The 26,440-nt window shown below is 45.0% G+C and overlaps 1 protein-coding gene across 1 annotated transcript in view, besides 1 other annotated feature; it reads right to left on the bottom strand.

Annotated features, from left to right (window-relative positions):
• DLGAP2 (DLG associated protein 2) overlaps positions 1 to 26,440 on the bottom strand; it is a 970,849-nt gene that overhangs the window by 537,102 nt on the left and 407,307 nt on the right. The window lies entirely within an intron of this gene.
• Positions 13,733 to 14,932: an enhancer, noted in NCBI's record as "CDK7 strongly-dependent group 2 enhancer chr8:1106443-1107642 (GRCh37/hg19 assembly coordinates)". NCBI's record gives its function as "activates an origin of replication core promoter dependent on BRD2, BRD4, P300/CBP, MED14 and CDK7 cofactors, with strong dependence on CDK7, by STARR-seq in HCT116 cells {active_cell/tissue: HCT116}" and the evidence as "EXISTENCE:reporter gene assay evidence [ECO:0000049][PMID:35650434]".

Genomic DNA, 26,440 nt, shown 5'->3' with positions numbered 1-26,440 from the left:
TCCACCCCAAATCAACAGAATATACATTTTTTTCAGCACCAAACCACACCGATTCCAAAACTGACCACATACTCTGGAAGTAAAGCTCTCCTCAGCACATGTAAAAGAACAGAAATTATAACAAACTATCTCTCAGACCACAGTGCAATCAAACTAGAACTCAGGATTAAGAAACTCACTCAAAACCGCTCAACTACATGGAAACTGAACAACCTTCTCCTGAAGGACTACTGGGTACATAACGAAATGAAGGCAGAAATAAAGATGTTCTTTGAAACCAACGAGAACAAAGACACAACATACCAGAATCTCGGACACATTCAAAGCAGTGTGTAGAGGGAAATTTATAGCACTAAATGCCCACAAGAGAAAGCAGGAAAGATCCAAAATTGACACCCTAACATCACAATTAAAAGAACTAGAGAAGCAAGAGCAAACACATTCAAAAGCTAGCAGAAGGCAAGAAATAACTAAAATCAGAGCAGAACTGAAGGAAATAGAGACACAAAAAACCCTTCAAAAAATTAATGAATCCAGGAGCTGGTTTTTTGAAAGGATCCACAAAATTGATAGACCGCTAGCAAGACTAATAAAGAAAAAAAGAGAAAAGAATCAAATAGATGCAATAAAAAATGATAAAGGGGATATCACCACCGATCCCACAGAAATACAAACTACCATCAGAGAATATTACAAACACCTCTACGCAAATAAACTAGAAAATCTAGAAGAAATGGATACATTCCTCGACACATACACTCTCCCAAGACTAAACCAGGAAGAAGCTGAATCTCTGAATAGACCAATAACAGGAGCTGAAATTGTGGCAATAATCAATAGCTTACCAACCAAAAAGAGTCCAGGACCAGATGGATTCACAGCCGAATTCTACCAGAGGTTCAAGGATGAACTGGTACCATTGCTTCTGAAACTATTCCAATCAACAGAAAAAGAGGGAATCCTCCCTAACTCATTTTATGAGGCCAGCATCATCCTGATACCAAAGCCTGGCAGAGACACAACCAAAAAAGAGAATTTTAGACCAATATCCTTGATGAACATTGATGCAAAAATCCTCAATAAAATACTGGCAAAACGAATCCAGCAGCACATCAAAAAGCTTATCCAGCATGAACAAGTGGGCTTCATCCCTGGGATGCAAGGCTGGTTCAATATACGCAAATCAATAAATGTAATCCAGCATATAAACAGAACCAAAGACAAAAACCACATGATTATCTTAATAGACGCAGAAAAGGCCTTTGACAAAATTCAACAACACTTCATGCTAAAAACTCTCAATAAATTAGGTATTGATGGGACGTATCTCAAAATAATAAGAGCTATCTATGACAAACCCACAGCCAATATCATACTGAATGGGCAAAAACTGGAAGCATTCCCTTTGAAAACTGGCACAAGACAGGGATGCCCTCTCTCACCACTCCTATTCAACCTAGTGTTGGAAGTTCTAGCCAGGGCAATTAGGCAGGAGAAGGAAATAAAGGTTATTCAATTAGGAAAAGAGGAAGTCAAATTGTCTCTGTTTGCAGATGACATGATTGTATATCTAGAAAATCCCACTGTCTCAGCCCAAAATCTCCTTAAGCTGATAAGCAACTTCAGCAAAGTCTCAGGATACAAAATCAATGTACAAAAATCACAAGCATTCTTATACACCAACAACAGACAAACAGAGAGCCAAACCATGAGTGAACTCCCATTCACAATTGCTTCAAAGAGAATAAAATACCTAGGAATGCAGCTTACAAGGGACGTGAAGGACCTTTTCAAGGACAACTAAAAACCACTGCTCAGTGAAATTAAAGAGGATACAAACAAATGGAAGAACATTCCATGCTCATGGATAGGAAGAATCAATATCATGAAAATGGCCATATTGCCCAGGGTAATTGATAGATTCAATGCCATCCCCATCAAGCTACCAATGACTTTCTTCACAGAATTGGAAAAAACTACTTTAAAGTTCATATGGAACCAAGAAAGAGCCCGCATCGCCAAGTCAATCCTAAGCCAAAAGAACAAAGCTGGAGGCATCACGCTACCTGACTTCAAAGTATATTACAAGGCTACAGTAACCAAAACAGCATGGTACTGGTACCAAAACAGAGATATAGATCAATAGTACAGAACAGAGCCCTCAGAAATAACGCCGCATATCTACAACCATCTGATCTTTGACAAACCTTAGAAAAACAAGCAATGGGGAAAGGATTCCCTATTTAATAAATGGTGCTGGGAAAACTGGCTAGCCATATGGAGAAAGCTGAAACTGGATCCCTTCCTTACACCTTATACAAAAATCAATTCAAGATGGATTAAAGACTTAAACGTTAGACCTAAAACCATAAAAAACCTAGAAGAAAACCTAGGCAATACCATTCAGGACATAGGCATGGGCAAGGACTTCATGTCTAAAACACCAAAAGCAATGGCAACAAAAGCCAAAATTGACAAATGGGATCTAATTAAACTCAAGAGCTTCTGCACAGCAAAAGAAACTACCATCAGAGTGAACAGGCAACCTACAACATGGGAGAAAATTTTCGCAACCTACTCATCTGACAAAGGGCTAATATCCAGAATCTACAATGAACTCAAACAAATTTACGAGAAAAAAACAAACAACCCCATCAAAAAGTGGGCAAAGGACATGAACAGACACTTCTCAAAAGAAGACATTTATGCAGCCAAAAAACACATGAAAAAATGCTCACCATCACTGGCCATCAGAGAAATGCAAATCAAAACCACAATGAGATATCATCTCACACCTGTTAGAATGGCGATCATTAAAAAGTCAGGAAACAACAGGTGCTGGAGAGGATGTGGAGAAATAGGAAAACTTTTACACTGTTGGTGGGACTGTAAACTAGTTCAAGCATTGTGGAAGTCAGTGTGGCGATTCCTCAGGGATCTAGAACTAGAAATACCATTTGACCCAGCCATCCCATTACTGGGCATATACCAAAGGACTATAAATCATGCTGCTATAAAGACACATGCACACGTATGTTTATTGCGGCACTATTCACAATAGCAAAGACTTGGAACCAACCCAAATGTCCAACAATGATAGACTGGATTAAGAAAATGTGGCACCTATACACCATGGAATACTATGCAACCATAAAAAATGATGAGTTCATGTCCTTTCTAGGGACATGGATGAAATTGGAAATCATCATTCTCAGTAAACTATGGCAAGAACAAAAAACCAAACACCGCAGATTCTCACTCATAGGTGGGAACTGAACAATGAGAACACGTGGACACAGGAAGGGGAACATCACACTCTGGGGACTGTTGTGGGGTGGGGGGAGGGGGGAGGGATAGCAATGGGAGATATACCTAATGCTAGATGACGAGTTAATGGGTGCAGCACACCAGCATGGCACATGTATACATATGTAACTAGCCTACACATTGTGCACATGTACCCTAAAACTTAAAGTATAATAAAAAAAAATGGACTCAGGTTAAGTACTTGCTAACGTGTCTGTCTACATCCCTCTACTGAACGTTGGTTTAGGACCTCAACCAGGTACTTTATACTTGACTTTGTACCTCAGTGTCAGACACTGTAGACGTTCAACAAATGTTTGTCAACTGAATGGATGCTGATGCCCAACAATGTCCTAAGAAGTTCCAGATTTCCATAAACCAAGAATATTCCATTGCGTGCCTACTACCCTAAAGAAATTAACTTTCACAAACATTAAAACAAGGTTAAATTATGTGCAATATAATTTTAAGTATTACCTCAATGTGGGCCACTTATGATCATCTGATTAAAGGAAACTAGGGTGCAGTTCATGACTAAGATCCCCTGGGTCTGCAACACTGAAATTCCAGTCATTCATGTAGAAACACCATGGGTTTGACATGCATAAAACCCTGAAACTCTGCTTCCCTAGCAGCCGGGGACACAGCCTCTGCCCTGCCAGCCTCACCCCTCTCTGCCTTTTTCTTCCTGCTTAGCAACTCCCTGTGAGGTACACTGGTCTGCCCTGCAGTGTGTACTGGACTCGAGAAAGCCAATTACTTCTCTCCTGCTCTTGAAGTTGCTGTGGTTGAGGGTTTGTGATAAATTTCATGGAGTCAGACCTTTGGGGGCCTTTGCTTGTGAATTTCATGCATGTGCTTTTTTCTTCTAACTTTTTCGGTCATGTAAGTCAGGAGGCTTTTACAAATTGTTTTTTTCTTTTTCTTCTTTTAGAGACAGTGCCTTGATCAGTTGCCCAGGCTAGAGTACAGTGATACAATCACAGCTCACTGCAGCCTCAACCTCCCGGGCTCAAGCGATCCTCCCACCTCAGCCTACAGATTAGCTGGGACTACAGGTGCATGCCACCACACCCAGATAAGTTTTTGTAAAATTTTTTGCAGAGATGTTGCCTAGGCTGATCCTGAACTCCTGGCCTCGTGGTCCTCTCACCTTGGCCTCCCAAACACTAGGAGTGTTTTTTTCTTTCAAAATTCATAAGCTACTTAAATATAGTATTATCATTATCCATATGTAGAAAACCACGAAACAATACTTACATTTACCAGAGACCATTGTTATTGTATGTAAATTTTATTTTAATTGACAAATAATAATTGTATAATTTATTGAGAGGTAAACTGTGATGTTTTTTGATAGATACACGTTCACAATGTGGGGTGATTAAATCAGACAAGTTTGGAAACAGAGACGACATGCTTATGCGGCATTGACAGGAGACTCCGTATTCTTAGAAAGGATAAAATAATTGGAGAAATAAACACCATTAACCTGCAGGGATATTTCTCATGAATGTTCTGCCCTTCTATAAAAATGTCAGCAAAATGGAGCAATATATACAGTGAAAAGGAGGAGAAAAATCAAACAGAATATTCTAATGTGAAGGCTCTGCCCACTCCTTCCTGGAGACGAACAGAGGGTAAGAGCTTGAGCTATCAGAAGTCAAATCAGATGGCGCATTATTAAATGATCAACCTGGTTACATCTTCAAGGAGATGTCGGTCCTGAATGAAGAGGATAATTATAGGCCGGGGCCTCGGGAATAAGGAAGCACGGGGTGGTGCATCTTGCACGGGGACTGGGCCATTAGCCATGACTCAGGAAGGCAGCAGGAGGGTAGAAGGATGTGGTGCAGGCATTTGTTTAAAATATATAAATAAATTCAGACGCTGTAAGACAAACAAGACCTCAAAGAGGCCGGGGAAGGACAGGGCTGATGCCCTGGCACGGAGTAGCTAAGGTGCCATGACCTGAGAGAGGGCAAGAGCCTCCTCTTTAGATAACCTTGGGCAAAGAGCACCCATGGGTTACTGACGGGAGATTATTCAGTTTTCTTAATAATTAGCCACATTTTTTCCAAATATTACTGGAAGAAAAAAGTCAACAGCAACTACAAGAAACTGGATAATGGTTAAAACAGCAACCAACAAAATCTGTTATTATCTTAAAAGTGGCACATCTATGAAGCCTCCCTGAATGTTTTTTTTTTCCCTTAAATCTAACGTGGGAAAATTAGGCTTTTAAGAAATGATAGCCAAAGAAGAAAATTTAAAGTAACAGGAGGAGATACAAACTGTAAAATTTTAGAGTTCCTAAGAAAAACTGAAAGAGCAAATCTTCATAATATTGTTTGTAACACCTGCACAGCAAACTGAGCTAAAAACGTAAATTCGACAAATAAAATTAAAAATTAAAAAAGACGAAAATCATGTAACAGTCACACGCAGCGACTGCACAATTTCACAAGGGCAAGGGCCACTGCCTGTCTTGCTGGCTGATGTATCCCAGTATCTAGAACAAGGCTTGGCAACACATGCCATGCAAATCACCATCTGATGAGCAAATGTACACATTAATTAGTGCGATGCCCTTTGCACCAAAAACAAATGCACAGACACACATGCACACTTTGAGAAAAACCAGCCTCTGATCACAGCACCTGTCCCCTAAGACCCGAGCCCGGCTGTGCCAGCGCTTGGTAGCCAACGGCCGATGGTCCTGGGGCCCTGAGGGCTGATGCTGTATGCGCGTGCTCTCTCTCTCTCTCCCTGTCTCTCTCCCCATCTCTGTCTCTGTCTCCCTTCTTCTCCATCTGTCTTCCTCTCCCTCTGCCTCTGTTCCTCCCGCCCCCCCATCTCCCCCTCTACCTCCCTCCTTCCCTCCCACCCTCCCTCTCTCTCTGTCTCCTTTCCTCTCCCCCTCTCTGTCTTCCTCTCTCTCTATCTGGCAGCAGAAGTGCAGGGCCTGAGAGGGAAGGAAACATGTCATCTGGAGCGGCCCAGAGGGAGGAGAATCTTTAGCCAGGACCCCGGACTCCCAACACCCAACCCCATCCCTGAACTCATAACAGTCTCCAACTCCCAGACTCTCTAATGGGAAGATAATTTGGGTTTCTACAGCTCAACAACTTTATCATTTTCCACGATTGCATCTTGCATGTGTTTTTACAGGAGACGAGGTCAAGAGTGAGACCACAGAGAGACTGGAGCTGTCTCAGCAACGCTGACAAAGGGACCTGGTATTCTCACTGTCACACGCACACTTTCCACACGCAGCAGTCGGAAGCTTCTCTGAAAGAATGACTTTTCACATAGACCTCAGACATTTGTTTCGGGCCTGGAGGAGTCAGAAAGACAAACTTCACAGAACTGACGATGGAGATCCAGAGAATGCAGCTCAATTTCAGGCAAGGGCCTTAGAGACAGGCCCTGGCGGTTCTGAGCATGGCTCTTCCCTCTGACTTGGGCTTTGTGGCATCTGGGCTTAGAATATGACCCACAAGTACTTGGGCAGCATCCGTGGCACCACCGGGAAGGGAGGAAAGTTCCCACACGCCCAACCTGGTTACCTGGTTAACTCCCCCAACAGGACGTCAGCCAGTGAGAGCCAGGCCATCGCCTCCAGACTTTCACATGGGGCTGAATCGCAGCTCCAGAGAAACCAAAACGACGGGCCCTGGGAGGCTCACAGAAAAATCCCCACAAACCAAAACGACGGGCCCTGCGGGCTCACAGAAAAATCTGTCCCCACAAACAAAAACAAACCCTGGGGGGCTCACAATCAGTCCCCACAAACCAAAACGAGGGGCCCTGGGGGGGCTCACAGAAAAATCTGTCCCCACAAACCAAAATGACGGGCCCTGGGGGCTCACAGAAAAATCCCCACAAACCAAAATGACGGGCCCTGGGGGGCTCACAGAAAAATCCCCACAAACCAAAATGACGGGCCCTGCGGGCTCACAGAAAAATCTGTCCCCAGCACAGGGAAGAGAAGACGGCGCCAGCGTCAGCCTTAAGGACCGAGTCTCACTAGAGGAGATGAAGGAAAGCGTCTCGTCTAAGAAAAACCCTGAACACTGAGTCTTAGAGGGCTCTCGTCTAGGAGGCCTGGCAGGCGGCTCCACCACCTCACCCGGAGGAAGCCAGGGCCCGCGGACGCCGGACTTTCTCTCCTGAAGGGAGCCCAACAGCAAGGACGTGTCGGCAGCCGCAGTGCTGAGCAGAGCTCCTGAGCCTCCGTACCCAAGCACACCCCGCGGGCAGCTGCTTCCTCACCGCTGCCATTTAGAAAACAGAAGGCAGGAAAGTCCTGCACCCGCGGCGGCCGCGTTACTCCCACCAACACCAATTACCACCGAATGTGCCCAGTCATTACAAGCAGCTCCTGAAGCGTTTTCTCGATCCCCGGCCCTCCCCAGGCGGCCGCCTGCAGCCTCTCCCGGGCCCTGCGCTTCCGGGGTCAGTTACACAACCGCGTTCTTGGCTCACGCAGCTCTCTGCCCCAAAAGCACCTTGCTCACACTCGCTAATGAATCCCAAATCCTACAGCTCCCGAGTCTTTGGAATCTTGGTGAATAAATAATTGTCACTGGCATCCACAGAGTTTGCTTCCTGCAGGGAAGGGTCCCAGAGCATCGGACACAGGCCTCCCCTCGCCCAGCGTGGGGCCGCCCGTCTCCAGCCGGAACCGCGGACCCGCTGAGCGGAGGCGAAGGGAACACGACACCCCGGGAAGGCCGGCAGCAGGCAGGGGGTGCGGCACAGCCCGCGTGGTCCCGTCTGGGAGTTTAATATCTCAGAACAGGGGACTCCCCAGAGGGAGGCGATTGGGAGGAGGCGCAGCTGCCATCGTCAGTTTTTCACTGGCACAGACACGTCAGTGGCCTCCGGTACTGGCGCTAGTTTCAGTGCACGTGCGTCCTGGCCACGGAGGACAGGAGGAGGGGACAAGACACACGATCACCCCAACACGCCGCAGCCCCGGGCCTCTTACCAGCCGAGGACTCCACGTTCACACTCCAGGGCCTCACCTCGGAGTCCTACACCAAACACCAAAGCTCCCAGGTGGATGGGATTCCTTGAGGGCCTCAGGTGCCTTCTACCAAGCTCTGACTTTCCTCCCCAGATGGCAGCCCCCTCAGCTGAGCAAACGGAGGACAAGCCATCGTGGACCCCAGCCCAGCACCCTCTTCTGGTGCCCCCGTGCCGGGGCTAGCATCTGCCCACAGCAGCACCCAGGGGACCTCCCGAGATCAGAACTGGGCCGTTTGGCGGCCACAGCGCCGTACAGACAACAGACACAGTACAGACAACGGACACAGCCTCCATGGCTGAATCTTCCCAGTCACTCCCTGGGGCTGTTTGCACACTAAACTATATTATGGAATTAATATTATGAAATAAAAATATATCCAGAAAACACTCAACCTTCTAAGCCCTAAGATGGAACTTCAAGCTATGCACGCTCACATTGCACATCATTTATTCTGAATGTCATTGACTATTACCAGACTACTGGATAGTTTATATTTTGATCATTTTAAAACCTGCTTAATTTTCTCTGTATTTATGGTCTCTGTTCCTAGTGATGCTAGCAGTGAGTTGCATATTTCTCTTCCACGAGTAGAAACAGACTGCTTTAACTGATGCATTTTCCTATTGAAAACAATATTCTTTCTCTTCTACCTAAGACGTCTCCACCACCAGTGTGTGTTGTTTCAGCCACTGCTCAATTCACGCTGGCTAGAAACAAACATGTAATGGAGTCAGACTCACCTACGCAGACGCCGGTGCAGGGTAAACACTGGCAAATATTTGTGAAATGAATAAATGAATAACGACACTCTCCATTCAAAATGGATGAATCGCCGCCTCCCTCGCCTCCGAGTTCTGCAGCACTGGCCGCCCCTGCTGCCGGGAGGGCTTCCTGCCTCCGTAGCCTCCTGTGGAATCTGCCCCACGGGCTTACGGGCATTAATGAGATAAGAATCAGCTGGAACTTCTGCTGCAAACGCAGGCTCCGGGCTCCCCTCACAGGCCGCTGGTCCAGCCAGTGCATCTTGCCAGGCCCAGGCACCTGCATTCTAGCAGGAAGGCCCTCAGGTGACTCTGACGCACCCCTGACTTGGCACACGGATCTCCTCTCTATACCTAAAGCCCCAAGGGTGGGAACCACGTCTCCTTCGAGCTTGTGCTCCAGAGGGCACCTGCAGGCCGTGAGCACAGGAAGCCACCAAGAGGCACCAATGTGGCCTCTGTCTATCCCCAGCAGGCCTCCAGGAGCCCCGTGGGTGCACCATGGCACCCGGGGGAGGCTTCATCTACACAGGACGGCTCCACGGGGCTGGACCATACGTGCCCTGAGACAGAGACATGGACCCCTGGTGTGAGCCCTAGGTAGGCTCCATTTCCCTACAGGCGTTCAAACCCCACCACCATGTGCATGACTCCAGGGCCGAGTCTCATCAGCTCATTCTGTGGAGCGGAGTTTGGGAAGGCGCCGATTTTCTACCTGAAATGTGAGTGTGTGTCTGCTAGGAGGTCTTCTCCCTGTGCCGGCCCCCACACATCCCAACAGAATTTGTCCCTCACTCTTAGGCCAGTTTGCAAGATCGCTGAGCCCTCTGCCAGCATTTAAAGCCTTTTGATCTCTGTTCCAGAGAGAACCTTTGATCAGGAAGTTGAGAAGCTCAGTGAAATCTTCCACCTGCCTGTAAAACGTTAAGCCCGCCTTTCCACTTACCATCTCCTTTCCTACAACACCTAGTTCATGCCTGTTCCACACCAGGCCCTGGGCTGGTGTGGTCAGCTTGTGTATTTAAAACCAGCTGATGGTTCTATCCATGCCAGCCACAAAGACATCTCTGCATAGTAGGATACATCGATGTGTTTACAAGCTGACATAATGCAAACTGTTAATAAATGTAAGACCGTTTTCTATTCCTCACTGCTGATAATTTAGTAATAACAGCCATAAAAGTAAACCTGCTGGAATAGGCAAAGTGTCTTATCAATTTTTTAAGTACCTTCAGGAATAAGTTGGATATAAGTAAATGCATTAGAATAGTATCCAATTATGAAATACATTCACCAACATCTTGGTGGCTATTTTTGCCACAGCTATGGGGTAAAATAATTCCTTAGGTGAAAAACCCAGATGACGGCCAGTCTTTAGTTACTTACCTGATTGCTAGACTCAGATTTAAACAACAAAAACAGTCAAACTAGAGGCGGAATCGCGTGCTGGTCTTCGAGGTGGTGAAAAAACCATCCCTGCCAGGCTTCCTCGCCTTCCTCGCCAGGCTTTGCATGGAAGGAGCCAGGCTCGGGGTGGCTTTACACTTTGTGGTCTGCACCATGCTGATGTTAGGGTCCGCACTGTCCTGGAGTTAGCCTCATTACACACACATTTAAGTAAAAACGAATGGGGCCCAGCGGAGAGCAGCCATCTCCTCCAAGGCCTGTACATAGAACTAAGTTGCTACTCCCCAAACTGGCAAAATAATGAGTGTAAGATAAAGGCATCCAAAGCAAAAACACGTGGACCACGTCCTTCTCAGTCTGCAGTCGAAAAAATGACCACAAAAGACTCCCCTAGCTGAATAAAAAGCACCTCCAAGGCTAGAGAAAATTATGCACACGTGCACACTCACGCCCGCGCCCACATCCCAGAAAACCTTAAGGCAAAGACCAGCACTTCCTTGCCCCGAGTTTGGGGCGGGGCTGATCCTCAGACTCTCCAGAAGGACCCTGCTAACCAGGCACGGGACCTGTCAATCACTGACTGCCGAGGGCATGTCAAAGCCGTGGTTCCATGCCTAGGTCCCCACCCAGCTGAAAAACTGTGCTATTTATACAGGTGTTTTCTACGGTGAACTGACTACTTCTAAGTAGCAGCCTCAGTTTTACATTGCCAAATAGTGCACAGCGATTCAGAGCAATTCCGAACCCACGGGCCGCGGCGTCAGCTTCCGGGCTGTGGGAGATGGAAGTTCCGCCTGTGAGGTGCCGTGGGGGCTCAGTTTACGACGACGGTCATCACAAACAGCGTGCAGGTGGTGCTGCCTCCTCACACTTAAAGACGCCTCCACAACGCCAAGACCTTTCAGGTGATGCTTATTTAAATTTTGTTCTAATCTCACAGGGAGGTGGGAGCAGCATTCTACAGCCTGGTGTCCATGCCTCCTTCAGGGGTTGGGGGGCCTGTAGACAGACACCCCTGCGGGGGCTGTGTTCAACCTTGTTCCAGGTAATCAATCAATAAACACAGAGCAACTTTTCATTCGTTCCTTGAATACTTCACTAGTATTTTTCAATGTATGACTGAAATCGTATAGCCTCAAACTCCGTATAACTAACTGCACCAGCCATCTGCGGAATGAAAATGTATATAAAATAACCAAAGTATCCCAATATTTCCATTCTGAGATATTTTTGATAGATGCAGGTATTCTTTCTCTGTTGTACAAATCTAGATAGAAAAATACACAGAAGAGTGTGCTGCTTCGTGAGTTGTTTAGAACACATCTTAGTAAAAACTCTAATAACTAAAAATCCAGTGTCTCCATAAACCAAGTGCAATGCTCCATACGTAAGGAACTCTGATAACTGCGTATTAATTGTCGACATACGATACATCTCACTAACCTGGGCTCTGAGATGCATTTTTGATCCCACAGAATAAATCAGTCCTGAAAGTAAACGATTTCCTGAAAATCAAAATCAGTATCCCTTATACCTCTTCTTACATTGTTTAATTACAAGTTTCCTTAAAGGATTAAACAACAGGAGACTCTTGAGACAGATAAAGCAGTAATTTGATTTCATAGATGGAACAAGAACCAAAACAATTGCTCACATTTATAATAGCTTTGACTAAATGCAGAGACCTCAACCTTGTCTGTATTTTTTATCAGACATCTTTCCAAGGATCACACAAATCCCTTAAAGGTGTCAAATGACCAGGTCTACGTTCTTCCCTCCTCAAGGGTAACAGAGCAGTGTGGCTCCTGGGTAAAGCTCACTGACATCGAGGTTAACAAGAAAGTGTTTTCATCTCTGCAGAAATACAGGGAAAGGAAGAGAAAAACATACAAAGTTCTGTACCTTTAAGAGGGGTCAGTCCATGCAAGTTTCCTTTGATTTTACTCATTTTCAGTTCCACTGGTCAGGCCGAACCCTCTAAGCATGTCCTTTGGAAAATAGGAAGTAAGAATCCCACTAACGGGGTCCCCAAAGTGACCAACACACAAGAAAAAAAACTGTGCAGTTGTCGATGTGGACAGAATCATGGAGGAGACTTCAAGGGGTCTGTGTGACTCGGAGCCACCAGGACCCGCGTGGCTCTGGGTGCGCAGCCCACAAAGGTCAAAGCTGCCGTGGACGGCGTCACTCACTAAACACAGAGTGCAACGGCCGTCTGCGGGTTCAAACAACCTGGCACCATACAGGGCTTCCACATAAACCATTCATTTCACAGGTATCGTCCAAAGCCATGAAAAGAGAGCAGTTTATATATAGGAAAACACTATCTTTAGAAAGCCACTCACATACACACCACTGGAAAGGTATAATTATTACATTAATAAACCCCAATGATCCAAGGTATAGTGACACTAATTGCAAATCAAGCATACAGTAAAAGTTGGCAATCTCAAATATAAGTCAATAAAACATCTTCACACACACTGTCTACTGAGGGAATTAGATTACATATGTACATACATACATGCACATATAACACACAGATACATGTACGCACATAATGACGTCTGCTGCTTCCTCAGTATAATGCACCATAATGGCAATTTTTTACATTGCCTCATTTTAATTCAAAAAGTTATATTGGCCACAAAATCATTATATAGCTTATTCAAACTGGCAAATTTAGGCTGACCAAATATGTTTGAGTTACATGAGCTTTAGATTAATAGCTGTAAATACGAAGCAGCATGGTCTATTAGAAAAACTAAATGCTCAGGCAGAACCTGCAAGGGGCAGCTGTGCAGCTGCACAGTGCCATAAGCTAGGGTGGGCCATGATTTAACCACTTTGGTGCCCAGGATTCTCCTCTGTAAAACTGGAATCTGTCTCTTGTATAACTCCTGATACTCTTGAAGGCACAGTGAACAGTGTGGATGATAACTGTTGACGTACACAAGGTGCCCAGAAGACTAAACAAGACGGAACACCGGCAGCATCTGAGATAGCGCCTGGGACATGCTTTGTGCTCAGTGAATGGGAAGTGCCCTCATCGCCTCCCTCCGATCCCAGGATGACCTTGTGTTGAAAAGGCTTTTCAAATGACGAAGCTCCACGCATAGGTGGGTGGCTGACGTTCTCTTGTCATGGTGCCATGTGTTATTTTTATTAAGAGCCTATTATTATTTGTATTAGAGTTTTAGAATTATCTTCCTACAGTACATTTGCCAAAGAGGACACACAGGTGAGAACAGCCCCAGAACAAACACAGCGCCACCGTTGGCTGGTCTTGCTCTGGGAGCCGGGACACAGAGCACAGCCTGATTGGTTCTGAAAGGCCCACGTAATTTAGTCTAAATCTAAGATGGGTCTTCAGGGGCTGGGAGATGGGAATGAAAACTTTAGACTGAAAGGGAATGAAAAACATTGCAAAATTTGGTTTCTAATTATGATTCTACCATTCCTAGCATGTACTCTTAAAAACAACAAGTTCTCAAGAGGACTCGAACTCCCTGAGGGCCGTCGTCGCTGGAAGTGCATCCATCGGTGAAATGGCTGAGCAGGCCATCTCTGAACATCACAGCCCGCATCTGTGCCACGAGAGGACATCCTCCAGCGTGTCTGGGGAATCGCGTGAATGCTCCCGGGAACTGCTTCACACACGGGGTACGGAACCCACAGGCTGATCACAGCTAAAGAGAGAGAACTTTTCCCCGCGGTCACCAGTAAATCCACAAGCCCAGGAAAGACCAAAGGATAAACCAAAGTCTGTCAAAACTTCTGTAATTAACTGACACCACCGAGTCCCTCAGAGGCTTCCTCTGAAGGTACCACTGAGAGCCTGGGGCCCTGGCCTGCCTGAAACTTGGAGGGGACTCGGGGGAGGAGCTGTAACAGTGGAGAATTAAGCACGGTGAAGACAAGGAACTCAAGGATGGACCGACTGGGAACCCTGAGTGGACGGCAGGGCCTTCCTGAGTCAGCCTCCTCATCTTCGCGTGGAAATCAGAACCTTTCTACCAACCTCTCTCAGTGTGAATGAAGCTGGATGAAAAATGCCACCTGGGAACAAAGCAAAAAGGAGACGTCAGCACCAGCCGGGGATCCTGAGCTGGGGCACCAAACGGGGGTGCTGAGTTGGGGTGCTGAGCCGGGTCGCTGAGCCGGGTTGCTGAGCTGGGGTGCTGGGCTGGGACGCTAAGCTGGGGCGCTGGGCTGGGGCGCTGAGCCGGGGCGCTGGGCTGGGGCGCTGGGCTGGGACGCTAGGCTGGGGCGCTGGGCTGGGGGGCTGAGCAGGGGCGCTGAGCTAGAGCGTGGCCGGGATTTGGGGGAGTCGGGGCCACTCCTAAAGACGCCTGACTTCTTGTGTGACGGGTTGTGCCACCCAGGCAGGTGAGATGGAGACGTGAGCGTGTGGCCTGGCACCGTGTGAGGCCTGACAGGGACACTGTGTGTGCCACGGCCCACGGCCAGACCCAGGGGCGTCCAGAGTGAGGCCACCGCCGCCTCCCCAACTCTCCTCCGGGCCACCAGGCTTCTGCAGCTCCCATCCTCTCCTCAGGAGTGGCTTTGGCTCTCCTTGGGTAAGCAGCGCCAAAACGGGAAGGAGGAGGAGACCTACCCGGGTCCTGGGTTTCAGGTTCATTGAAGCGGCCGCTCCCGGCGGCAGAGGGAGGGTCTGAGAGCTGCAGCCCCGGTGATTCACACACAGCCAAGCCCAGGGGAGGCTCCTAGGGAAGCCCCTGCACCTGCGGCCCCTGAAACAGGGCTCGGCTGTACCAAGAGCTTTCCTTGCTTAATGGCGGGAGGGGCATCAGCCGTGCGGGTGTCAGGGACGCAGCAGCAGCTGCAGAAAGTCACCGGCCCACAGGCCCTCTGCGACGGGGACTCCGTCAGGGGCAGCGCAGGAACGGGACGCCCACCCAGCCTCCCCGAGCCCCGAAGCTCCCTCGGCCTCTGCATACTGGCCTCCCCCGCCGCTGGATGCAGACAGCGCGTCCTTCCTCATCTTCCTCTCCACACACGCCGCTCGCCCACTCGAGATCGTGTGTTCATTCCACGAATGCCTGCAGCACCTGCCCCCGAACCGGGGCGTCCCAGCCCCACCGACCAAGGCCCCGCGCTCCAGGGACGCAGCCCGCGCGGACGGGGAAGTGAGAAGCGCTGGGAAGCCTCGGAGGGGCCTGGGGGCCTCGGAGGGGCCTGGGGGTCTCGGAGTCCGGAAAGACCGCGCCCATCGCGAAGCAAAACCCCGGCCAGATGTGGTGAGAGCTGGGGCTACCCTGCAACCTGCGAGCCTGCACCACACATCACACATCACACATCACATATGCTGTCGTCAACAGCCTCCTGCCATGGAAACTCTTTAGAAAAGTTCCCTCCAAGATTCCGAGAGTGAATTTTCTAAGGTTGCTAAAAGACTCCCAGGGAAGCCGGTGCGCCCGCCGCGATCCCAGCTAGCAGCCCCCTGGCAAGAGCTCCACTCGGAGACCATCCGGGGAGACCCCCCAGCCCGGATGCCCCTCGCAGGAAGCGGTGGGACTTTCCAGAGAGGCCAAGAAAGCGTGTTGGAAACCACTCCCTCCGGGAAGACGGAGTGCAGCCACAAGAAGAAGAAGCGACAAGTCATTCACGCATCTGTTCACTCATCCAGCAAGCGTTCCTAGAAACCCTGGTGTGTGCTGGGCAGAGGAGAGACGCAGGGGACACGGGACCCGGCCAGCCGCTGCCCCAGGGATACCCAGGGGACGGGACCCAGGCAGGGTTTAAGACGGCCCCTCCGACGAAGGCAGTGGCCAGGGTGAGAGGTGCTGGTGCCCAGGCAGAGGCCTGCGAGAATGAGTGGGAACAGAAGCAGGATGGGAGGGAGGGACAAGGCCCGGGAAGAAGTAGCCATTCACGTCCTGGTGAGGGGCTGCAGTGAGGAGAAACAGTAAGAAGAGAGACATGGTTCCTGTAGGCCGAGGACACTGCGCGTCCAGGTAGCAGACACTGGAGGGTGGAAGAGCAGAGCGGCAGCTGAAATCCTAACTCCAAGGCACCCCGGGCCTTTGTCAGGCCCACAGTCTTATTTTAGGGCGGGATGGACGGCAGGACTATAGAGGGTGCCCGGCCACAGTAAGGACTGGAAATCCTGACCGACTCCGGGAGAAAAGGCAGCTCGGTCCTCGACTGCGGAGGGGCCTGGAAAGCTAGTCCCGGCCTCTTCCGTGGCAGTGTAACTGGCTGCTGGGGTTTTTAATGGATGGTTAATCTATTTCTGTCTTTTCTTGTGATTGCGATGAAAGAAGAAAAGAAACAAGAAACTTAGCAGAAAATAAATGAAAAATTGCTTAATTTAGTTTCTCAGTTTTCTTCTGATCAATTTTCCCTGCCTTGTCTTTGAATAAGGGAAATCATTAATATGCACAAATTTACGGTAGAAGTGAGTGACACCTACTACTTTGATCAGTTGGAAGAGAGGGGCATCTGGATAAAATCGTGTCTCGATGTATTCGTTTGGGGGCAAATACTGGCACATCTCCACGCCTGGTCCTGGCTGTTCTGCTGTGCTGGGGGATCTCACAAACTCACCCCAGGTCAGTAACTCAGCTCTTCAAACCTGACATTAGTGTCATTTGCTTTGCAAGGCATTTTCTCTTTTCCCTTTTGCTTGGACGACGCCGTAGTGATTCACAATTACCCCTTACATTACCTCGAGGCATTCGATCTTTACAATATCCACATGAAGCCATCTGGTTTGATACTGGTGCATATCCATGTATGCACATTTTTAGTTCCTTATTTCTTTTTCCTGCTTGCTTGTTTCTTTTCTTCCATATTCCCCTTGTTTATGCTTGCTTCCTTTCAATAAAGTTATTTTTGAAAGGAAAACACAAGAAAAGAAAATTACTGAAAAATAAGATCACTGCAAACATGAAACCCCCTAGGAAAGGGGAGGAGACAGAAAAACGTCTCTGGGGTCCAGTGCACTTGAACTGATTTTCATGTCAGTAATATTTTTGCCAAGGAAAGTGCTAGATGCATTTATCAAGACCTTAGGTGGTGAAATTTTACCACTGAAATGAGATCTGCAAAACATTACGCTGTGTTTCCTAACAGTTATGACTGCAAATGTCTGCCGCTAAGCAGAGCTAATGACATTAAAATAATGTTAATGGTCTGGCAATGCAGGAAAAGCCTAGTTTTGATGAATTAGTTCTCATTAGACTCACATTCTGATACGCCTGTGAAAAGTCTAAAAAATATTGGTTTGTGTCTTTCACAATGTTAGTTGATAATTTTACTCTAATGAAAAAGAGGATAAAAACAGGTTAATTAACTCGGTGGGCACCATATACATCAACATTGGTAGAATGTGTTCCTGGATTCATTAGCGGGGAAAGGATTTCGTATAATCACGCGACTGGTAAGCTTTCTACGGTACACACTGCTGAGAAAGAGTGAACTGTACCATGTTCTACACTAATTAAATCAGTGACTAGAAAGAGGCGTGTTTAGAAGCCCGACTAAATTGCCTTTTATAGCTCTTGAGGTAGGCAAGTTATGATTTAGGCATAGCCAGTGCCAAAAGCTGATTTTTTTCCTTCCGAAGAAAATGACCCCAATTATCTGGGCATGTTCAGATCGAGACTGATGATTCTCTGGCCAGACCATGAGGAACCAACCACTCTGCCTGCCACACCGCTCGGAGCCTGGAAACTGAGGGGTCAGGCCCTTTGCAGGAAGAAAAGTGGAAATGCACTAAGTCAGGGTGGGTCAAAGCAGGGGGAGAAGGCCTCTCAAAGGTAGTTTCTTGAAATAAAAGCATTTCCTGTCTTTTAAAAGAATCTTAAGCATGAGTAAAGGAGGTAAGTTTCATTTTAAATTTCTACAGAATAGCTTGAATTAATAGTGCCAAATACATCAGAGAGGAAAAATGTTTGAGTGGGCGTGCTTCCATACTTTGCAAAAAGATGCTGATTTGCTTAAGTTCTAGTTTCCAAAGCAAATGGTGTGCAAGATAAATGGCTGTTTTGTGGAAGAACACGGCAGCATTTTTTGCACAGAGCCACTAAGAGGCAAAATGTGATGTAGGTTTGGCCCATCTGGTTTTAGACATAGCCGTTAGCTTCAGCATCTGGGAGGAAGCTGATTCTAAGCAAGCATGTTTAAGACAGTGATGATGCCAAGAGGTGGAAGACCCATTTCTCCCCAAACCCAAGTTCGCATCCTAGGAGGCCCTGCAGGCACCCCTGGGAGTTCCCTCCCCAAACCTCCCCTGCTGGGCCCCCCATGACATCATTCCATCAACCACCACCTTACTCACTGCTTTGCACTTTTTAAGTCATACAAAAAAGGGCCTTTGGGAGAGGAATGAACATACATTTTCCTATTTCACTATGACCAGATAACTGAAGGAAGGAAGAGTCTTCCAGTCATTCATAGCTCCAGAGACTCTATTTCATCCCGTTTAAATACTTAGTGTCATTGCATTGAGGCAACACGTTCCATCAAACTCTGTGTTTTAATGATGGTAGTTCTAGCGGGAAATTTAACACTACCTCACAATTTACATATGTTAAAAATGGCATTTGCAAAATAAAAAGGCAAAAGTCTGAATGCAAACATATTTCTAAAAGTCACAAAGTATTAGTATCAACAATATATAAAGAATTCGAAGGAAACAATAAGAAAATCACTAACACTCTCATAGCAAAATAGATAAATGTCTACAAATAAAATTTACAGAAGAAATATAGCCAGTAAATATTTGAACACATACTGTGCCTCTCAAGGAAACAGAAAAATGCAAACTAAAATGGAATATAGTTGTCATCTTCTAATTTGGAAAACATTAAAAATGAACTATAGCTCAATGCTAGTGAGGTTGAGGTGAGAAAACTACTCGCAGGTGTCTTGTGGGAACCAACATGTATTCCAACAACCAGAAAAGCAATCAGCCTTTACATATCAGGACGCTTCGCTGTTTATGGTATTGGACCCTTAATTTTACTTCCAATAGTTTGTTCTAATGGAATAACCAGAAAGAAAGCCAAAGATTTGTGTAAAAATAAGTTGACTGCAACAGTACAAAGAGTAGTTCGTGTAAACAGAACAACCTAAATGCCTGATCCTGGGGATGGAGAAGATGAGACGACGCCACCTGACAATCGGCCTCTTTGGCCTAAGCACCGCTTTGAGCTGAAGGCAAGAGAGAAACCACAGGCACCGGAAGAGCTCTCTGCCCTCCTCCTTTCTACCTAAAGCCAGTGCACTCATTTCCCCTTGCGAAGGTGCCCCTCACCTCCCTCACCAGGCAAAGAACAACCGGAATCGTCAGAGACGGAAAGCCTGCACTGAGGATCTGCAAACAAGCCTTACTAAGATAACCCTCCTCTCCCGTTCATCTTCGCACGTGTTCACCGTCCCAAAGCTGCCCCCGCGTAGGCCAAAGGTCCTTTTCCTCTGTACAGTGACTTCTCTGCATCGTGTTACCCTTTGTTAAAGTGCCCTATGAGCCCCTGAGTCTCCTGCTCCTCTGAGTTTTTCACTTTTTACTGTGGAGCTTCTTTTCATTTTTACTGTGCATGTAAAAATGTTAACATCAAGCAAAATGTGTATGACTTTTCTCCTATGAATCTATCTTTTGTCAGTTTAATTGGCAGACTCCAGCTGAAAAATGAAAGAGGGTAGAGGAAAAGTTTTTCTTCCTCTGCAGGGACGTGGTTAAGTGAATAAAAACGCATCCATGAGATAGAAGCCAGTCACTACCGATGATCATCTGAAAAAATGTTAATGAAATATCAAAATGTTAACATCGTTTTCAATGAAAAAAGAAAGTGGAGGACCAAATCAAAAACAAAGCATAACGATTACATATGTATGTATGTGTGTTTCATACATGTGCCTGCAAACATACAAAAAACAGAAATAATTATATCCAAATAATAATGATTATCTCAGAAAGTAATACTCCATATATTTTTCATGTCTGTCTTATTTTTAAAGTCAGAAAAACTTATTTGAGAAGTGGTGTTTAATATATTTCAAATAATGATATTTAGTTTTTCAGATTCTCACATAACACTTTTTTTCAGTTTTTAAGAACTCATCTATGTTTTTGAGTCTGACATGTATGCTCTCACTTCTATGTCCATTATTACATGGAAGAAAGTGTTATATTCATCCATTTTGTTTTTCTTTCTCTAGCATTAGAATAACCTCCAAGTTGAGCAGTGTCCAATCCTGTCAACAGGGCATGGACACCACCCTTCTCTCCTTGGATTTTCTAGAAGCCACAGTAGATTCATAGGAATGAGGCATGATGACAAATCCTCGTCTCTGTCCCAAGGGGAATTTTAAGTATAAAAGACAAATCTGGCACAGTCCTGCATTCCCAGATAGAAGATTCTTCAGCCTTCAGCTCTACACAGAACACATGGATACAAAGCCATGCCTAGGACAGCAGGGTAAAACTTTTAAAAACCAAAGGCAAAGAGAAAATATTATAAGAAGCCAAAGAAACGTAAGATTTAAGCAATGATACCATGCCCTGGCTTCCTAATAAAAACAGGGAAGGCAGAAGACAGTGTAATGACAGCTTTAAAAGGCTGAAACAGATAACTGCCAACTTACAGTTCTAGAGCTGAGAAAACATCTTTTTCATCAAAAGCCGAAATGAAGACATTTCTAGGCAAACAAAAATTGAGAGAATTTTCTTCGAAGAGATTCACACTAAAGCAAAAATTAGGGGAGCTCTTCAGGGAGGAACAAAACAACCCCAGAAAAAACAAGGAAATAAGTGAAGAAATGAAGAGCAAAGAAAGGTGAATATGTGGGTCACTAAATCTAAATATCAACCACACAAAACAATAACACTGATGTCTTACTGACCTTAAACATACATACAGAATTCGTATCTGTGGCTAAACACAGAGCAGGAAGATATCAGAGGAGTTAAAAGGTTCCAGGGTCTTGGCATTTTCTGGAAGGTGATAATAACACCCATCGGTCTGAGTTTCTAATAACCTAGAGATGACTGTGGTGATCCTCAGGAACTACTGAAAGTGAAAGTGACGAGTCAAGAGAGGAAAATGTGGAATAAAAAAGATAAATCTAGGTCAATACAACTGGATGCAAGAAAGGGAGAACAAAGAATATAAAATAAGTGGAGAATACAACAGGAATAGTAAGATGGCAGATGAAATTCCTGGATGTCATGAATTACATTTAATATATACAGTCTGACCAGATGAAAATAGAAACAACTATATGCTTAAAGAATAAAACTTAAATATTAGAATATAGTAAGTGTGAAAGTAAAATGATGAAAGAAGACATAACATGCAAATATTAACCCAAAGAAAACTGATATATACTAAAATCAGATAAGTAGATTTTAAGACTGAAATCACTGAAAGAGATAAAGAGGGTAATTTCAGGCCAGGCGCGGTGGCTGGTGCCTGTAATCCCAGCACTTTGGGAGGCCGAGGTGAGCGGATCACGAGGTCCGGAGATCGAGACCATCCTGGCTAACACAGTGAAACTCCGCCTCTACTAAAAATACAAAAAAAATTAGCCGGGTGCGGTGGCGGGTGCCTGTAGTCCCAACTACTCGGGAGGCTGAGGCGGGAGAATGGCGTGAACCCAGAAGGCGGAGCTTGCAGTGAGCCGACATTGCGCCACTGCACTTCAGCCTGGGCAACAGAGCGAGGCTCCATCTCAAACCAAAAAAAAAAGAGGGTAATTCCACAATGATAAAATAGTGAATTTTTCAGGAAGGTATGACAATCTGAATTTGTACATCCCACTATGTGACTTCAAAATATCAGATGCAAAAATTGACAGAATCAAAAGCAAAAATAAACAAACCTGGATAAATCTGATCAATTAAGCACATAAATTAATCCGAAAATATAAGATTTAAAACATCTGAACACAAGGATTAATACTGAATTATTGATACATAGAGACCACTGAAGTCAGAAATAAAAGAATTTCATTTTTTAAGTACACACAAAACATTTGCCAAAATTGGCCATATGCAGGAACCTAAAAAAAGACCCAGAAAAGCTCAAGTAATTGAAATACGTAAAATACATTCAGAATATATTATCTGACTACAGTAGAATTAAATTTGAACTCAATAATGAAAAGCTAACTAGAAAATGGCAAATTATTTTAAAATTAAGAAATATACTTCTAAAATATTTTTGTCAAAAGAGAAATAAAATGAAAATTAGAAAATGTTTTAAGCTGAAGCTCATTCAATTATTAAATGTTAATACTCGAGAGGCAGCTAAAGCTGAACATAAAAAATTGAAGTATTAAGTTCATATATTAGAAGATAAAAGTCTAAACATCAATCACAAGAAATTAGAATAAGGATAGGAAATTAAATCCAAATGAAGAAACAACAAAGATTAAAGCAGAAATTAATTTAAAAACACAGTGTAGGGAAAAAAATCAACAAAATCAAAAAATATTATTCTTTAAAAGACTAGTAATATTGATAAATTCCTATTAAAACTAATAGAGAAAACAAAAGAAGCTTAAAGCAATAACATCAGAATTGAAAAGGAAAATAATCACAGATCCTAAAGACATGAGAATATTTTAAGAGGGTGGTGTAACTAATTTTCTATCACTAATTTGTAAATCCAACTGAAATGGAAAAGTTCCTTGGAAAACACAACTTATAAAAACTGACACAAGAAGAAATAAAAAAATCTTAACAGTCCTGTCTAGAAAAGATATCAAATCTGTAATTATACCTTCACATAAGAGAACCACCAGAAGTAGATGGCTTCTCCAGAAATATTTCCAATGTTTAAAGAATAAATAATATAAACTATACAAATTCTTCACAGTAGAGAAAAAGAAACACTTCTCAAACTTGTCTTGAGGCCAGATTAACTTTAATTCCAAATCAAAGGGATTTTAAAAAATAGACAATCTGTTGTAAACGTAAATAGAAAAACACTAAATAAAACATTAGCAAATATTACATGTTAAAACAATTTTTAAATTATAAAATTATTGTATTTATTTCAGGAATCAAAATTTCATTTATGATTCAGAAATCAATCACTATACCACTGTATTGGGAAGTCAAGGTGGGAGGATCACTTGAGGCCTGGAGTTCAAGTTCAGCCTGGGAGACACAGCAAGACCCTGTCTCTGAAAAAATTAGCTGAGCTTGGTGGAACTTGCCTTTAGTCTCAGTGACTAGGGTGACTGAGGCAGAAGGAGAGCCTGAGCCAGGAGTTCAAGGCTGCAGTAAACTCTGATCTCACCACAGGACTCCAGCCTGGGTGACAGAGACTCTGTCTTTAAAAAAAAAAAAAAAGAAGAAGGTATAAAAATTACATAATCATCTTGATGAGAAAAACGTTAAATGAAATTCAATTTATGAATTTCAAAAGAAAGATAATAAAACTGGCATTTGCAGACAACTTATAAATGTAGAAAGTCTAAAATGTCTACAGAAAAAATAGAGTTAAATAATACATAAATGTAGCAAGATCACTAGAATCAAAGTTAATAAAAAATGTATTTCCATACAATAGCAATAAAAAACCTGTAAATTATTTTACAGAGTTTCATTTTTACAAAAGCATCATTTTTTTGACGCACATAAAGTTTACAATAGCATGAGGAAATATCGAATACCTATGATAAATCTAAGGAAGATGCACAAATACACAGAAAACTGTAAAACACTGGGAGAAACTTCAGAGGGCCCAAAGAAATGGAAGAAACTACCATGTCAATGCATTTGAAAGACTCAATATAAGGATGCCAAATGTCCAAATTTTAATTTACGGATTCCATAAATTCCTAATCAAAGCCCAATGAGTTGTTCTTTAAAAACTGAGAGGCAGATTTTAAAATTCATCTGGAAATGCAGGGTTGGAACATAAAGCCAATTCTGAAGAGGAGAAATTTATTGGAAGAAAAGAAAAGCAAGATCCGGCAATAAAAATAATTGTGGCAGTGAGGAATTGGCTCAGTGTTTGACAAAGAGATCAATGGTTCTAATAGGCAGCCCTGAAACAGGCCTACCCTTGTGTGGGGACTTGAACTCTGAAAGGCTGCACTTCAGGACAGTGGGGACGGCTTGTCCTTTCAATAGCTGGTACTGGGCCAACTGGATATGCCTTAGGAAAAGGAATGAATGTAGCCCCCCCTCTCCCTACACAGGCACATGCACACACATGCACACACACGTGCATGCACACACTCACATGCACACACATGCATGCACACACGTGCATGCACACACATGCGCAGGTGCACACACATGTGCATACACACACATGTGCACACACACAGTTCCAGAGATATTACAGGTCTAAATACACGCAGGAACGCTTCCAGAACCTAATGGAAGTTCTAACTACAAAGGATAATATTGATGAATGGCACTGAATTACATGTAAGAACCTCTGATCATCAAAGATTCCATTTAAGAGAATGAAAAGATGTCCCACAGAGCAAGAGGCGTTAGAAAAACCTGTGTTTGTAAAGGGCCTCATATCTGGAATCCGTAAAGACAGCACACTAGGAAAATGAGCACGGGACTCCATTCAGCCCTTCTTAACAGAGGCTACGCGATATCAGATGGCAGATAAAGAAAAGACGTTCGAGGTGACCGAGCATCCAGGAAGTTACATTAAACCATGACAAGATGCTGTCACAGCACCTGCAGGGGCTCCTGTGGAGAGGCTGACACCCTCGTGGCTGCAGAGATGTGTGGCAGGCGCCCTCCTGGCCTGGCAGTGGGTGTGTGGGTTGGTGGAGTGAAGTGTCTGCTGGGATGTGTTAGAGGGGACAGGCATGCTCTGCCACCCGGCATCCTGGGGCTACCCACACACAACAGAATACATAAGAAAATGTGGCACATATACACCATGGAATACTATGCAGCCATAAAAAATGATGAGTTCATGTCCTTTGTAGGGACATGGATGAAATTGGAAATCATCATTCTCAGTAAACTATCGCAAGAACAAAAAACCAAACACCGCATATTCTCACTCATAGGTGGGAATTGAACAATGAGAACACATGGACACAGGAAGGGGAACATCACACTCTGGGGACTATTGTGGGGTGGGGGGAGGGGGGAGGGATAGCATTAGGAGATATACCTAATGCTAAATGACGAGTTAATGGGTGCAGCACACCAGCATGGCACATGTATACATATGTAACTAACCTGCACATTGTGCACATGTACCCTAAAACTTAAAGTATAATAAAAAAAAGAATACATCCATAGATTCACCAAAAATATGCAGAAGATGTTTACAGCAGCATTATTGGTAAGAGTTTCAAACTAGAAAACAGGAGGAGAGAAGTGGAAGGAGGAGAGGGGTCTGTTGACGTTGCAATGGATGGATGAAGCATGCACACCCACAGGACGGGAGACCACAGTGGAGTCATGTACAGAGGACACCACACACCAGCTCAGCCAGGTCTCCCAGGCCCCACGCTGGGCGAGTGGAACCGCAGCCAACAAGCCCATGCTCCAGGGTCCACCACACCAGACACAATTCATAACTCATGGGAGGGGATTAAAAACAGCGGCTTCCTGGAGGGATGGTGGGTGGGTGGGAGTTGTGTTTCCGGATGGTGGCTGGGTGGGGCAAGCTGTGTTTCTGTACAGTGGCTGGAGGGAAGCTGTGTTTCTGGATGGTGGCTGGGGGGAAAGTTGTGTTTCTGGTTGCTTTGTCTGTCTCCATCCTCCTGGCCACCTCCAGAAGCTACAGGAAATAAATGCTCTTTTCATCCTGGTCCCTTGGCCACCTACTAATACAGAGAAGTTGCATCTAGGTGAATATTAACTTTTGCTTTTGCTTTTCCTTCCTTTGCATTGTGAATACAGGCCATTTGTGGTTTGTCTGTTCATACAGGCCGTCTGCGGTCTGACTGTGGGTACAGGCCGTCT

The sequence above is a fragment of the Homo sapiens genome, chromosome 8 (genome assembly GCF_000001405.40).
Source record: "Homo sapiens chromosome 8, GRCh38.p14 Primary Assembly".
Taxonomy (NCBI): domain Eukaryota; kingdom Metazoa; phylum Chordata; class Mammalia; order Primates; family Hominidae; genus Homo; species Homo sapiens.
Note: the sequence above shows the minus strand (reverse complement) of the source record. Positions and strands in the feature narration are given on the sequence as shown.